The sequence below is a fragment of the Homo sapiens genome, chromosome 14 (assembly GCF_000001405.40).
Source record: "Homo sapiens chromosome 14, GRCh38.p14 Primary Assembly".
In the NCBI taxonomy this organism is placed as follows: domain Eukaryota; kingdom Metazoa; phylum Chordata; class Mammalia; order Primates; family Hominidae; genus Homo; species Homo sapiens.
In genome coordinates, this window is record NC_000014.9 from 75925517 (window position 1) to 75942147 (window position 16631).

At 41.0% G+C, this 16631-nt stretch overlaps 1 protein-coding gene across 1 annotated transcript in view, besides 1 other annotated feature; it reads left to right on the forward strand.

The window, feature by feature from the left end:
* The window catches only part of TTLL5 (tubulin tyrosine ligase like 5), a 293834-nt gene that overhangs the window by 264271 nt on the left and 12932 nt on the right, over nt 1-16631 (forward strand). The gene's annotated exons all lie outside the window — the stretch shown is intronic.
* Nucleotides 7747-7928: a silencer, noted in NCBI's record as "fragment chr14:76399606-76399787 (GRCh37/hg19 assembly coordinates)". NCBI's record gives its function as "represses an EF-1alpha promoter that drives an FKBP-Casp9 reporter gene in an ReSE screen in HepG2 liver carcinoma cells and K562 erythroleukemia cells {active_cell/tissue: HepG2 | K562}" and the evidence as "EXISTENCE:reporter gene assay evidence [ECO:0000049][PMID:32094911]".

The window sequence follows — 16631 nt, forward strand, 5'->3', positions numbered from 1 at the left end:
ACTTCCTAGATGGGATGGCGGCTGGGCAGAGACGCTCCTCACTTTCCAGACTGGGCAGCCAGGCAGAGGGTCTCCTCACGTCCCAGACGATGGGCGGCCAGGCAGAGACGCTCCTCACTTCCCAGACGGGCTGGGGGCCCGGCAGAGGCTGCAATCTCGGCACTTTGGGAGGCCAAGGCAGGCGGCTCGGAGGTGGAGGTTGTAGCAAGCCGAGATCACGCCACTGCACTCCAGCCTGGGCACCATTGAGCACTGAGTGAACCAGACTCCGTCTGCAATCCCGGCACCTCGGGAGGCCGAGGCTGGCGGATCACTCGCGGTTAGGAGCTGGAGACCAGCCCGGCCAACACAGCGAAACCCGTCTCCACCAAAAAAGTACGAAAACCAGTCAGGCGTGGCGGCGCGCACCTGTAATCGCAGGCACTTGGCAGGCTGAGGCAGGAGAATCAGGCAGGGAGGTTGCAGTGAGCCGAGATGGCGGCAGTATAGTCCAGCTTCGCCTTGGCATCAGAGGGAGACCGGGGAAAGAGAGGGAGAGGGAGACCGTGGGCCGTGGGCCGTGGGCCGTGGGGAGAGGGAGAGGGAGAGGGAGAGGGAGAACTTGTCTATGTATTTTAAAGACTAGGATTGCAACCCCAGCTTTTTTTTTTTTTTTTTTTTTTTTTTTTGCTTTCCATTTGCCTGGTAGATCTTCGTCCATCCCTTTGTTTTGAGCCTATGTGTGTCTCTGCACGTGAGATGGGTCTCCTTAATACAGCACACTGATGGGTCTTGACTCTTTATCCAATTTGCCAGTTCGTGTCTTTTAATTGGGGCATTTAGCCCATTTACATTTAAGGTTAATATTGTTACGTGTGAATTTGATCCTGTCATTATGATGTTAGCTGGTTATTTTGCCTCTTAATTGATGCAGTTTCTTCATAGCATCAATGGTCTTTACAATTTGGCATGTTTTTGCAGTGGCTGGTACCAACAACCCAATTTTTTAAACAGGCAAAGGATTTGAATAGACATTTCTCCAAAAAAGATATACAAATGACCAATGAAAAGATGCATCATTAGTCATTAGAGAAATACAGATCAAAACCACAGTAAATGCCACATCACACCACTAGGATGACTGTAATCAAAAGACAGGTAATAACAAGTGGAGATGAGGATGTGGAGAAATTGGAATCCTTATACACTGCTGGTGGAAATGTAAAATGGCGCAGCTGGTTTAGAAAACAGTTTGGCAGTTCCTGAAACAGTTAAACATAGAGTTACCATATGACCTTACAGTTCCACTCCTAAATATACATTTAGGAGAAATGAAAACATATGTCCACATAAATGTTTGTATACGAGGGTTCATAGCAACATTATTCATAATAGCCAAAAATGTGGAAACAACCTAAATGTTAGCCAGAAAATGAAGTGATAAACAAAATGCAGTGTATATATACAGATTGCCTAGGAACTGGGGCTGGCGGGGGCCGAGAAATGGGGAGTGACTGCTAATGGCATTGGGTTTCTTTTTGGAGTAATGAAAATGTTCTAAAATGAGATTGTGGTAATGGTTACCCCATTTTGTGTTTGTGTTTTTGTTTTTGTTTTAATTTTTGTGGGTACATAGTAGGTGTATGTGTTTATGGGGTACATGAGATGCTTTGATACAGGCATGCAATGTGAAATAAGCACATCATGGAGAATGGGGTAGCCATCTTCTCAAGCATTTATTCTTTGAGTTACAAAACAATCCAATTATACTATTTTATAACATACAATTAAGTTATTGTTAACTATAACCACCCTATTGTGCTATCAAATAGTAGGTCTTATTCTATTTATTTTTTACCCATTAACCATCCCCCCGTTTTGTGTATACAATAAAAACCACCGAACTGTATACTTTAAATGAGTGAATTTTATTAATATGTGAAATATATCACAATAAATCTGAAAGAATCAATAGTTAATATTTAGAAAGTAAGAGGAAAAAAAAGCCCTTCAACATAAGCAAATTGTCTTCACATCTTAGATGGACAAATTGTTGATCAATACGTATTTAGTGTGTCCTGTTCATTCGTCCAACAAATAATTTGACTGCCTCCCGTGTGTGAAGTGTGTTCTAAGGTCTTAGGCAGAAAGATGTCTGGGCTCTGCTCTGCCCCTGCTGTTTTATCCTCCCAGGAAAGGTGGTGTGCCTAGGGGACAGCAGCTGTCCCTGGGCCTGGCCTCACTCTCTTTTTCCCTGTTTGGAAAGGTGTCAGGCTCCCGAGTATTTCTGTTGCTTTCGTCAGCACAGAGCAAGGAGGACCTTGACTATAGTTTCACAGCCTTAAGCTTCACCTCATGCTTCAAATCCACGAAAGAGCAGCTGAGAATGGGGCTAGCTGTGCCACCAATTGCTTCTCTCCCATTGTTAATCCCTTTAATTCTGCTGTTCCTAGGCACCCCTCCCTGACACCATCCTGTTGCCCACTTGTGATGTGATTGAACAAGTGGTTTGGCCTTTGAAAGGTGATTCTTAGAGATACCTCAAGTGACCCAGCCCCTGGTTTGCTGGGATGCTCTTGGTGTTCGTTTCCATGGAGCACCAGAGATTGTCTGTAGGCGAAACCCTTTCCAACCAAACCCAACTCAAAAAGGAGGTAACTGCCACTGACCTCCTCTGAGATCCTGGCCTAGCCGCCAGGGTCATTAGGGAAAGCAGCATTTCATTGCTTAGCAAAGATAGTGAGAAAGCTCCAGTTCTTTTTGGCTCAAACAGAAGAGTTTATGTCCTGACACCTGAGTTATTAAATTATGGCACAGCTAGCTCTGTGATGAATGAATGACAAAAACATATATATATATATATATATATATATCACTGTATTTCTGCTTTACTCTATCATTTCCTGGGCAAAATGTTATTTTATTTATAAAATTCATCCATCTCTTTCACAAACCTCAGCTTTTATGGCAAAACACACAGACACGCACTGAGCCACTTTTCAGCCTATATGTACTCTTTTCAGAGAGCATTAGAATTAAACTAATTAGAATTCCTCCCTCCCTCCCCTGAGATTGATGTATTTCTCAGCATTCTACGATGCTTATTACACTAAAAAAAAGACAACTTCCTAATGGCGTGAGGACAGAGAAAGTGGCATGTGTGTTGGGGGTAAAAGGGAATATTCGAGCATTAACCTGCCTGGTGATCGCAGGGCACAAGGAAAGCCTCTTCTGTCCTGGGCTGTCCCCTTAGTTGTGATAGGAAGGGGAGTAGCAGGAAATGGAATCTGCCCTGGTCATGGGATTTTTTGAAAGAAACAAAGCATGATCTGATGAAGAGCAGGTTAATCCTGCTATTTCATTTCCCTTGCAGAAAGGGTGGGGGCAGGATTGTGATATGAAGTATTTAGTTTCACATCTGTTCCAGGAATTATCCTCGGCATAAATCCATTTTTCTTTTAAGCATCGTAAAGCATCCCAGGGAGCTCCTCCTCCTGCCCACCCTCCCCACCCCCACAGTTTATTTCGTGGCCACGGAGCAGCTGACATACTTCCAGAGAGATCATCTTGTCATTGTACACAAGGAGGGAATCTCTGAGTCTTAGAAGTCAGAATTTCTGTGGATCAGTGGTATCAATTTTGTGTACTGCTTTCCATGAAGTGTTTAGAATAAAACTAATTAGCATAGCAGCAGCGTAGTATAATGAAAAGAGCTCTCAATTTAAAATTAGAACTGATTCTCATCTCAGCTTTGCTACCATTTGTGTGAATTTGGGCAAGTCACCAAACCTCTTTGGTCTCAGGGTCCTCATGGTTTCCCAAAATGTGTTCACAAAATACAAGTCTTCACAGTCAAATAAGTTTGACAAATGCTATTTACCCTATGCCACTTCTTAGAGTTGTAATATATTAACATATTAAAGACTCTGAAAAGTCTTTCAATAAAGATACCTTTTTTTTTTTTTTTTTTGGTGGGGATGGAGTCTCGCTCTGTCGCCCAGGCTGGAGTACAGTGGCACGATCTTGGCTCACTGCAACCTCCGCTTCCGGGTTTCAAGCAATTCTCTCTGCCTCAGCCGCCCAAGTAGCTGGGATTACAGGTGCCCACTACCACACCTGGCTAATTTTTGTATTTTTAGTAGAGACAGGGTTTCGCCATGTTGGCCAGGCTGGTCTTGAACTCCTGATCTCAGGTGATCTACCCACCTCGGCCTCCCAAAGTGCTGGGATTACAGGAGTGAGCCACTACGCCCGGCCAAAGATACCTATTTTTCACTCAGCATTTCTTAAGTTTATCTGACCTGGAACCATTTTTCCTATAATGCTGATTAGTATCTCGTCACTTTGAGAAAGGAGGTTCAAGTCCAAATTGCTGGTAATCTATATAATCTGTCACACGTCATGGTTACCAAACTCAGTTTAAAGTAACTTTTCAAACTTCAAATCTCATTATTTGGAAAAATAAAAATAATTTTATATATGGCAAGGGGACTTCTAATTTAAAAAACTGAACGTAAGCACCAAAGCAATTAAGCAGACCAGTACAGACTTGTAACTAGAGTTGCGACAAAGTTTCTTTGACTTCTGTTTTCTATTCCCACCTTTCAGATGTTTGGTGTTCTCCTGTGGCCTTGCTTGTATGGTCTATTAATTATTCTTTGAATAACTAATTATGCTCAGCACAATACTAGGTGCATGTAAAGAATAACAAATCCAAAGATCCTAACCTATAATGTAGAGAATGAACACATACAAGGTAAAACAGAATTTCAAATTGTAGAGTAAGGCAAAAGAATGATTACAAATTCATATGTTGACAGATACTAGCACAGGTTGAGTATACCTAATCTACAAATGCAAAATCTGAAATACTCAAAAATCCAAAACTGTTTGAGTGCTAACGTGACACTCAAAGGAAATGCACATTGGAGCATTTTGGATTTTGGATTTTCAGATTAGGGATGTTCAACCAGTAAGTATAATGCAAATATTCTAAAATCTGAAAAAAATCAAAATCTAAAACACTTCTAGTCACAAGCATTTTGAATAAAGGATAATCAGCCTGTATATATTATTAATTAAATATCTACTGACGTTTCTTGCAGAGAACAAGAAATTCACGGAACAAGTGGATCAGAGGTCAAGTGGGAGATAAGTGACGGGGGGAAATGCAAAAATAGGATTAGGCAAAGAAAGCACTTTTATGGTTCTGAGAGAAAGAAGCGATTTCACCTGGTATAAATATTGAGGCTAAGATTAAGTTCTAAGATCAACCTTAGCCGGACAATCCTAACATCATTTAAAAGTCTGGCTATGATAAATCTTTTGAGAAATCAGTAAGGGCAGTTTATTTAATCACTCAGCTTAGAGAAATATCATCCATATATTTAGAGTGTTGGTCTTTAACAACACTGAGTTTTTGGGAATGTTGGCTTTCCCTTTCTACCGCTCTAGCTGTTCCTTCTTCCTGATAAAGCTCCCCATCCTTGCTTGCTTGTTAATTTTCATATTATTCTCTAAGATCCTGTCCTTGATCTGCTCCCGTAGTTTCAGCTGACCTCCATCTAGGACAATTCCAAACCTGTTCCTCCAGCCAAGACTGTCACATATGGCTTCAAAGATTTGTTGTGCCCAGCACAATTCTGGGGCACCATACACACCAAACATGAACATAAGTAGTACTTCTCCTGCTCACACGTCTCTTTGGATCCATGTTCCCCAGCCACCTCTAGACGTGTCTCCTGAAGGGATCACTGGCATCTCAGGTGTAACACATCCAGAACTGACCTTATCATCCTCTCAAGACACACCCCTCCTCTGGTCCCTCCTGTTCACCTTCATTAGAGGTAAAGCCAGAAACTGAGAGGCATGTGAGCTCCTCCCCTCAGTCCGCATATTTGATTATCATTATTATACTTTTCCCTTTAAATATCCCTCAGTTAACAACTTAACAAGTCCAATTTCATTCATATCCACTGCCTTAATTCAAACACATAACACTTTCTGTTTGAATTACTACAGTGTTTTCCAGACGGATCTCTTCATCCTAAGTTGTATCCTGCCTTTATCCTCCACACTGCTCTAAAAGTGGTCTTTTAGAAACAATTATGACTATGATGCTTCCCCACTAAAAAGTCTTCAGAAGCTCCCTTTAAAGTGCAAACTCTGTAAGTGGATTGCCAAAGCCAGTCATGGTTTGCTCATTAAAGACCACTCCCCAGCCACTCCCTCAACACATAGGTTTAAATTCCAGTCATTCTAAAGTACTTGCCATGCTATCCCAAACTTCTTCACCATTGCACAAGATGTTTCCTCTTCCTAGAAATCCCATCCCTTACTATCAACTCCTGTAGCACCCTTTGCCTTCCATTGTAACAGAATTTGCTACAATGTTTTATTTTATTTTACTTATTGCCCTCTACCACTAGATTATTAAGTCCCAAAAGGATTGGGGATTATGTCATTCACCTCTGTATCACCAGTGCTTTTCATAGTACTGGGCATATAGTAGGTATTCAATACATAAATATGGGATAAAAGGTAAATTTCTATTGCTATTGTAAGGTTTAGCATTCACTGAATAAGTGGCTGTACAGTGGTAAGATCAGCTATGCAATATTCATATCTTGTAAATTATGGGTATTTTAACAACTACTTCTGTACTTCTTGTGTCCTTTGGACTTCTGAGAGGAAACAGAAACTCCATGCATCTTTGTAATCAACTTTTTTTCTGATATTCGGAGGCTATTCTACTTCATTCATCCAGAACTTTGGGGTTGGGAGGAACCAAAAAACAGGCCTAGAGTGGAGTACCTATCTTTAATAAGCTAAAGATATTAACTTCACTATATACTGATGTTAAAAAGATAAGGAGATTTTATACAAATCATTTAGAATTGACTCAGTAGCAAACTAGGGTGTATATGTCCATACTTATGAATTCACCATTTTCACGATGGAGTTTTTTGCTGTTTGCCTCTACTTCTCATTCATCCCAACACAGCCTGTATGGGGAAATAAAAAGTAAAATAGAATGTTAACAGGCCATTTTATTTTTTTTTACTGTTTTAACCCATGACTTCAAGGAAGAAAGATGCAAACAAATACACAAGGTGAACTGCTGTGGTAGAAAAACTCCAGACTTAGTAGCTTCTATTCTCATTCCTGGCACTTAGTAGCTGTGCACTCTGAAGCGATTTAGTTAACCTCTCCAGACTGTTTTGTCACTGTGAAATGGAAATACGTTCATTTAGAAATATTTTTAATGCCTGTGTGTGTGTGTGTCAGGTGCTTTGCTATGCACTCAAAATAGTTGCCATGTCTTCTTCATGAGGTTGATGTGAAAGCTGGATGAGATACTGCCTGTGAGAGCGTTGTTGGTGTTGTTTTTTGTTTATTACTATCAAGTGACACCTAGAACGATCTCAGTCTTCAGTCAGCGAAGACTCCGTTACTTTGACAGAAAAGTACACTGATTCATTTGTAGCAAAGTTTGAAGCAAAGAAATATTTGACTTTAGCCCCAATTCAGAGAAAAGTTTAAGTAGCCCCAATCTTCTTTGCCCAAGCATTCTAGTTAATACAGTTTTTTATTGATAGGTGAAGTTGTTATTGTATTATTGTCTACTGCCACATAACAAATTTTACCTGAAAACTTAACGGCTTAAAACAATAAATATTTGGCTCGGCACAGTGGCTCACGCTTATAATCCCAGCACTTGGGAGGCCAAGACGGGAAGATTATTTGAGCCCAGGAGTTCCAGACCAGCCTGGACAAGAGTGAGACCTCATCTCTACAAAAAAAAATTAAAAAATTAGCCAGGCCGGGTGTGGTTGCATGTGCCTGTAGTCCCAGCTACTGGAGAGGCTGAGGCAGGAGGATTGCTTGAACCCTGGAGGTCAAGGCCGCAGTCAGCCGGATCATGCTACTGCAGTCCATCCTGGCCGACAGATTGAGACTCTATCTCAAAAAATAAACACACAGTTATTATCTCACAGTTCCCATGGATCAGACTTCTTAGGTTAACTGAGTGTCTCTGGCTCAAGGTCTCTCATGAAGTTACAGTCAGGCTGTCAGCTGGGAGCAGTGGTCTCATTGGAAGGATAAACTGGTGGGATCTGCCTCCAAGTTGTGGTTGTTGGCAAGCTTCTTTCCACTTAAGCTTCTCTAAAGGCTGCTGTTATGGACTGAATTGTGTCCACCTCAAAATTCATATGTTGAAGCCCTAACCCCCAATACCTCAGAATATGACTGTATGTAGAGATAGCTCTTTTAAAGAGGTGATAAAGTTAAAATGAGGCCATGCGGCAGGGCCCTGCTCCAGTGTGACTTCTTACAAGAGGAGGAAATATGGACACACAAGGAGACACCAGGTATTTGCACACATAGAGGAAAGACCATGCAAGGACACAGCAAGACTGTGGCCATCTGCAAGCCAAGGAAGGAACCAAACCAGCCAGCACCTCCATCTTGGGCTTTGAGCCTCCACAACTGTGAGAAAATGAGTTCCTGTTATTTCAGCCACTTAGTATGTGACATTTTGTTATGGCAGCCCTATCAAGCGAATACAGCTGGCTTATCCCATAGTGGCTGGCCTCCCCTGAGCCAGAAAGCCATGAGAGCCTGAGAAAGCTCCCACAGCAGGAGCCACAATCTTTTTATAACTTAATCTTGGAAGTAACATCCCATACTTTCTGCAGTATTCTCTTTGTTAGAAGTGATTCCAGTGCACACCCAAGGGGAGGCAATTACATAAGGGTATGCCTTCCAGGAGGAGGAGTCACAGAGGTCATTAAAAGGCTGCCTGCCATACTAGTTTGGGGTTGCTTTTAAATAAGTTAAAGTAAAGCATTTAGAGGTGGACAGATTGGCAACTTTTACGTGATACTGTAGATTCAACCTCACCAAATACATGAGCACTCTGACTAACTTAATCTATAAGCTATACTCTCATTCTGTGAACCTAAGATTGTTATGATCTGTAAGATAAAAACTTTTGACATTTAAGACAAGGTTTTCTGGGGGACGAAGAACATTTTAATGGACTAGATTGAAGAGAAAAGGTATTATCAATAAATGCTTAAGTCTAGGTTGAATATGGTGCTTCTCATCCAGGGCTGCATACCAAGAGGAGGTGGGGGGAAGGAAGGAGGGATAAAGTTTATCATTAGTAAAAAAGCACAGTCAAACTATAATGTAATCTTATGTATGGAAAGTGAAAAAAAATTATAGCTTTCATAAACTGCAGAAGGTAAAACTGAAGACAATCTTGGCTGATGGAGAATAGGTCATAAAAAGCTGAGAAAATGCTCTAACCATTCTCTCATTGTTAATGGACAAAAAGGGAGTAAATGAGACTGGGTTCCGGGTGAGCATGCAGTGCACCATAATACCCAAAGAGCTTTTAAGAACATCCGGTGAAGAGTAAGAAAACAGTTAAGGGGCTGCATGGATTAATTTGGGAGATAAATATAAAGCAGCAGTCATATTCTGGAGCCTTTAAGAACTAATAGGAAGAACTTTACAAGAGAAGGATTGGGGACTGTTGAACCCAAGCTTTAGTTCAAAGGATCCAGAGGACATCTGCTTTGTGGTGATAGTGAGCTGACATCTGATTCCTCAGTAAGTACACTGAGTTCCCAGTAGCTTTAGCCTCTAAAATTAGTAGCATTGTCAGCTTGATTGTCTTGTGTTTGTCTAACAATCAGAGTCTATGTGGCAAAGCTGTCATTATTCCCAACCAAGGTCAAACTTCTTTTCACCAACAGCCCTCGTTGGTTTCTTGAGTGATGCTAATATGAGGGGAGATTCTCCCTTTGCCTTTCAGAGAGCTCTAAGGAGCTGTCAATAGTAATAACATCTCCACGTATTCAGCTGCAATAATTTAGCTCCTGCTTCATTGGAACTCTCTCTTGGGTGAGCCTTTAAGAGAGGAAGAAGCTGTTTCCTGTTATCTCCAGGCTGCATGACAACAAGATGATAGGCTGATTCTAGGGCCCATTTCAGTTTTCCATACAACAAGTTGTGAAACTAGAGAGTGAGATGGATGGTGGGAGGATCCCACAAGACCCACACTAAAAAGATGTGTTGGGATTTGGATATTTCTATGGATTACCTAAAGAGTTCTCTTGAAAGTAGATGTTTATGTTGTTGTGGAACAATTTCTGAGAGATATTGTTAAGTAAAAGATGCCCCAAAAAAACCCAACCCACTGTAGATTATGCTCCCCTTCATATAAAAAGGGGAGGAGGAATATATGTTTGTATGTGCATAGACAGTCCTGAGAAGGGTGAGCCACACACCTATGCAAACCAGTAATAGGCAGCTGCCTGCCTCTGAGATGGAGACCCAAGAGTCTAGGGTAGAAGAAATACTTTTAACTCCATAATCTTTTGTATTTTTTTTTTAATCATGCCTAGATGACTTTTAAACCACACAAATAGGAACAGTTTTTAAAAGAGAAAACCCTTGAAGAAATGACACTTAAGTTATGGCATATAGCCCTTAAATTCATGCTCTATTCTCTTAAATAGTAATTTGAGTTTTCTGGTTCTCTCTCCTTTTTGTCATTAGAGTTTGAAAAATCATGGTAGGAATAGCAGTTATTTATTGAGCACCTGCTGTATCCCAGGTGCTGTAATTTTTACATAGTTTTTTTTTTCACTTAATCATCACAACAATCATATGAGAAATACTTCTTAAACTGCCATGTTTTTACAGTGGAGACTTATATTCCTTCTTTGGGTTTTCTTTAGAAAATAGAGAGTTCCAAGATTAATTTTCTACGAAATGTCTGTTACTTTGCTCCAGCAAAGATTAGAATGGCCCTTGTCCTGAGGGGTGCATCGGATCAGTTCTACCTTCAAGTTTTTCTCCTCTTTCTCTGGCTTGTCTTAAAGTGTAGTCAGATCTTTCTTGCTCTCCCTCCCTCTCTGCTTCACGTCTTTCCATCCGTCTCTCTTCCTCGCTTTGTATTTCTCATCACAGCTTCATTGACCTCCCTATTTCTTGCATCATATGGCTTCTTCCATGTGGCAAGATCAGATGGAAGGGTGTGGTTTGAGCATCTTCCATCTTATTCTTTCCAGCAGTGACCACAGAGTGAGGGAAGCATCTCTCTTTCTACTTTAATATATATATAACTCCCTAAGAAGGACTGGGATCGGCTTGGCCTGGGTAATAAGACCACCTCTTGAAGTAATTGCTGTGGCCAAGGGGATTCAGGTTTTGGCCAGGCCTGGGATCATTTTTGCATCAACTTTTGTGATCAAGAGGATGTGGAATTAACATTTGTAGCCTGGCAGTAATAGCTTGGTTGGAATAGAAGAAGTGGGGAGCAATTTCCCAAAGGAAGAGAAAGGGGCTGAAACCCTAAGCAGATGGGAAGTGTCACTAGGCAGACAAAAATAGTAAATTTCCCTGCTTTCCACCCTTAGCTTCTTATACAAATGCAGAGTTAAATTATAAAACAATTCATGCAATAAGCACTTTATATAACACTGGAGCAGAATAAGTGATAGATCAATATCCATAATTATTTAACATCTTTAAAATTGTGGTGAAATATATGTAACATAAAATGTGCTGTTTCAACCATTTTTAAGTGTATGGCATTAAGTACATTTACATTTTTTTTTTTTTAAGTCAGAGTCTTGCTCTGTCACCAGGCTGGAGTGCAGTGGCACGATCTCAGCTCACTGCAACTGCCAACTCCCTGGTTCAAGCGATTCTCCTGCCTCAGCCTCCCTAGTAGCTGGGTTTACAGGCATGCACCACCACGTCCAGCTAATTTTTTTTTTTTTTTTGTATTTTTAGTAGAGACGGGGTTTCATCATGTTGGCGAGGATGGTCTTGAACTCCTGACCTTGTGATCTACCCACTCAGCCTCCCAAAGTGCTGGGATTACAGGCATGAGCCACCATGCCTGGTCCATTTACATTCTTATGTAATCATCACCACCGTTCACCTCCAGAATTTTTTTCTTCTTGCAGAACTTTAGCTCTGTACCCATTAAACAATAACTCCTCATTCCCTTTTGCCCCCAGCCCCTGGCAACCACCATTCTACTTTCTGTCTCTATGAATTTGACTACTCTAGGTACCTCATATAAGTGGAATCATACGGTATTTGTCATTTTGTGACTGGCTTATTTCACTTAGCATAGTGTTCTCCAGGTTCATCTGCGTTGTAACAAGCAGAATTCCCTTTTTTAAGGTTGATTCATAATTTAATGTATGTATACACCACATTATCCATTCAGCAATCAATGGACACTTGAGTTGCTTCCACCTTTAAATATTGTGAATAATGCTGCTGTGAACATGGGTGTGCAAATATATGTTTGTGTCCCTGCTTTCATTTCTTTTGGGTACATACACAGAAGTGGAATTGCTGGATTGTATGGTAATTCTGTTTTTAATTTTTTGAGGAACCACCATCCTGCTTTCTGTAGTAGCTGTACCATTTTACACCCCCACCAGCCGCACACAAGGGTTTCTGTTTCTCCACATTCTCACTAACACTTGTTATTTTATGGTTATTTTAAATGTTTATGTTTTGATAGTAGCCATCCTAATGGGTGTGATGTGGTTTTAAATTAAACATTGGTAACTGAGATAATACTAGTGCCATTTATAAAATTAGCATCATGGATGAGTGGGACAGACAATACTGTTAGAATTTTCAAAGTCAAGTTTCGATGATGACTGAATGTTAAACTCAGCTAGGTTTTTCTCAAAAGAGAAGGAGAAGTCGGAGCCAGAGGTAGAATTGAGCAATCATCTGTATGGAGATACTTGTTAAAACTGTGAGTGGATGCATTCTCCAAGGAAACGAGTTTAAGGATTAGCAGCAAGGTTCAAAGGATGGAGGAAAAGGAGCCAGTGGGGGAGCCCATGGAGGCAGCCTTGAGAGACACCTGGATATTTCAGAAACTCGGAGTCCCAGGATGGGAATGATCAGTGAGCTCAGATGCCAAGACAGATGACTTTATGTAAATTGCCTGTGAATAAAATTTTGTTAAATTGAATCATTTTACATGAATAATAACCTGTAGTGCCCTTTATAATTTTCAGAATGCTTTCATATGGATTTCCTTATTTGGCCCTTGTAGCAATCCAGTGAGGTACACACGTTTTTATTCTCATATTACAGAGGAAGAAACTGAAGCACAGAGAGATTGCAATTTTCCTAAGGTTACTGCTCGTAAATCTCAGTTTCCCAAGATGATCAGTTTTGGGGAGGCTGAAGGCACAGTAGTTCAGAGATGCTTACAGCAGAGTAGGCATGAGTGTCTTCCCATAATGCCCCAGAGGCTTGTCATCCCTAGCACATGAGATCTCTTTCAGTACCTCCTGGAAACAATATACACTGGCCACTCTCGGCTTCCTGTGAACTAGTAAAGAGCTTGATTGCCTATACTCTAGAGCAGTGATTGTTAAACTGTGAGTCGTGACCTAGCAGTGGGTCATCCAATCAGTTTAACGGGTCGCAACCAGGCTCACAAGAGCTGGTGGAAGGTGTCCCTTCCCAACTCTGCCTTCAGTAACTTTGCGTTGGTTATTTGAACTCAATTGTGGTGGAAATTGGCCAACAACACAAAGTTGGGGCTTTCATTTGTTTTACCGTAGAGAGCCTGTTAAACATTTTCTAGCACACCACTGGTCACAATCATCATTCCCCTGCCTCCCCACCCCAGTGCAGCAGAATGAAATAGAAGAATACCAGGGTCTATCTACAGTAAAAGTAAGTGTAAGTATTATGGGAATTTTATTTAAGTCATAAAGATGGTTGTGCATTCAGTGGCAATGTGAGATGTACTTTTTACTATGCATTGCAATCAGAAAAAAAGTTTGAAAGTCACTGTTAGTCACTGGTCTAGAGTCCCTTCATTTCATTTCATTTTATTTGTTTAGACAGCTTTACTCTGTCATTCAGGCTGGAGTGCAGTGGCATGATGACAGCTCACTGCAGCCTCATACTTCTGGGCTCAAGCAATCTTCCTGCCTCAGCCCCTGAGTGGCTGGAACCACAGGTGTGCAACACCACGTCCAGCTAATTATTTTATTTTATTTTTAGTAGAGATGAGTTTCTCTATGTTGCCCAGGCTGGTCTCAAATTCCTGGGTTCAAGCGATCCTCCTGCCTCAGCCTCCCAAAGTGCTGGGATTATAGGCATGAGCCACCATGCCCAGCTGGACCATTTACTTCTCACCTTCTTTAGGTAACTGAAAGTGCTATTCTCCTAATCTTCAGATAGAGAACTGGTATCCAGCACCCTCTTTGACTCATTAATGCTGCATCTGCTACAGGAGGAATGAGGCTGAATTTTTATCAGACTAGAAGCTATTCTAGAAGAGGCAAAATCCACCCCCACCATCAATCTGTCTTTTGAACTCAAAGCTATATAAAAATCCATTCTAATGCCCCACCAAAGATTTTCTCCAGTGAGCAGAAAACAAAAATCATTATCCTTAAATCCCAGAGGTTTGAGGCTTGTGAATAGCATAAATCAATTTATAGCTCGTAGCATTGTTTTACTCTACCACTCTTCATTACCAGAGCTCCCTATAAAGAAATTAAATCTTTTTTTTTTTTTTTTTTTTTTGAGATGGAGTCTCACTCTTGCCCAGGCTGGAGTGCAGTGGCGCGATCTCAGCTCACTGCAAGCTCCGCCTCCCAGGTTCACACCATAGGCTGTCTCAGCCTCCCGAGTAGCTGGGACTACAGGCACCCGCTACCAAGCCTGGCTAATTTTTTTGTATTTTTAGTAGAGACGGGGTTTCACCATGTTAGCCAGGATGGTCTCAATCTCCTGACCTCATGATCCACCCGCCTCGGCCTCCCAAAGTGCTGGGATTACAGGCATGAGCCACCGCGCCCGGCCGAAATTAAATCTTTTTAAGAAAGTGAAGAAACTCTTCATAAAAGAAACTCTCCTTTTAATAATTCAGCCATTTATTTTATAAATCTAGGTTTTACATGTTTATATAAAAATACACCAGATATACTCAAGTAGGTTATGCTTCGAAACTAGCATGGTAGATACATCATAGAATTAGATCCCAAGAACATTGATTTTAGTCAGCCTTAAAATTTTTAAATTTTCATAACAGGGTGGTTATTAAGTATTCTTATGCCAAAAAACCTCTGTCAAACATGTTAATCAGTCTTCCATTAGGATACTTACTATCTAAATGTAGTTACAAAAAGAAACACTTTTCACTGAATGACATTTGAAAGTCTTTCAGAGATTTATATCTCTCTATTCCGTGATAAAATGTTATCATGCCCATCTGATGGGTTTATTATAATAAAATAATCCAGAATAGGGGGAACATGGTTTTTTACAGGTTTGTGAGACTTAAGTATATCTTCAGAAATGAGTTATGTGCATTTTTCTTAGAAGAATTAGGCTTGTTGTATTAATGACTATAATTCTTTATAGTAGAATTCCTTAAAATAGCATTGTATTAAAATTATTCAACACTCATTTGCGAGTAGAAAGGAAATCTTCCCCCATAGATGGACACTTGAGCTCTTGTTGGTTTTAGCATCTGAACTGAACCAGATGCCTGCATTACTCATGAGAAATTAAAAAGGATTTCTGGGAGGCCATGAGGGCTTGGTGGTGCTGCTGTAGTCAGCGGCTCCCATGTCCCATGTGGCTGCATTGCAGAGTTCCTTGGGCTGTCTTTGCTCTGAACAAACCCCTTGCAGCTGTGCCCGGCGCCTTTGTGACAACCCAGGCAAGGTTTCATGAAATGGATCTGATGTTCTTGTGCCTGTGTTATTCATTCCAACATACTGGAGCTATGCCCAGGAAGGTGAGGGGCAGCAGGTTGGCCCACACACCCCAGCTGTCCGTTTCTACTAATGTCACTCAGGATATAAATAAATTGATTCATTCACTTCCTTTCTTATCAAACCAGAATGTTGCCAGAAGATACTACCAGGGCTGCCCAGATCAGTTGGAAAGGCCTTAGGGACAAATCTTTAAGAGGTAAACGTCTTTGCATTTAGGTAATATTTTAAATTAAGTTTTTAATTTTATTTTTCTTATTCACTTCAGACCTTGGAGGGAGAAAAATAACTTTGGTTATATGTTCATAACATTTGAGGTTTGAGCCTTCTTTATTTGTCCCATTTTCCAGATAGGAATTTTTTCTTTTTACTGTATTCTTTTTTTCTGAGACAGGTTCTTGCTGTGTTGCCCAGGCTGGTCTTGAATCCTGAACTCTTGAGCTCAAGTGATTCTCCCTCCTCAGCCTCCTAAGCTGGGATTATAGGTATGTATCACCACACCTGCCTGGCTTAGGGCCTTCTTTATTGGCAGAAAATTCATGATGAACTTTTTTTTTTTTTTTTTTTTTTTTCTGAACTGGAAAAGCTATGAGTCATAGGATTTCATAAAAATGCGGTGGCTCACACCTGTAATCCCAGCACTTTGGGAGCCGAGGCAGGCGGATCACGAGGTCAGGAGATCAAGACCATCCTGGCTAACATGGTGAAACCCATCTCTACTAAAAATACAAAAAAACTAGCCAGGTGTGTGGTGGCTGGTGCCTGTAGTCCCAGCTACTTGGGAGGCTGAGGCAGGAGAATGGCTTGAACCAGGGAGGCGGAGCTTGCAGTGAGCTGAGATCATGCCACTGC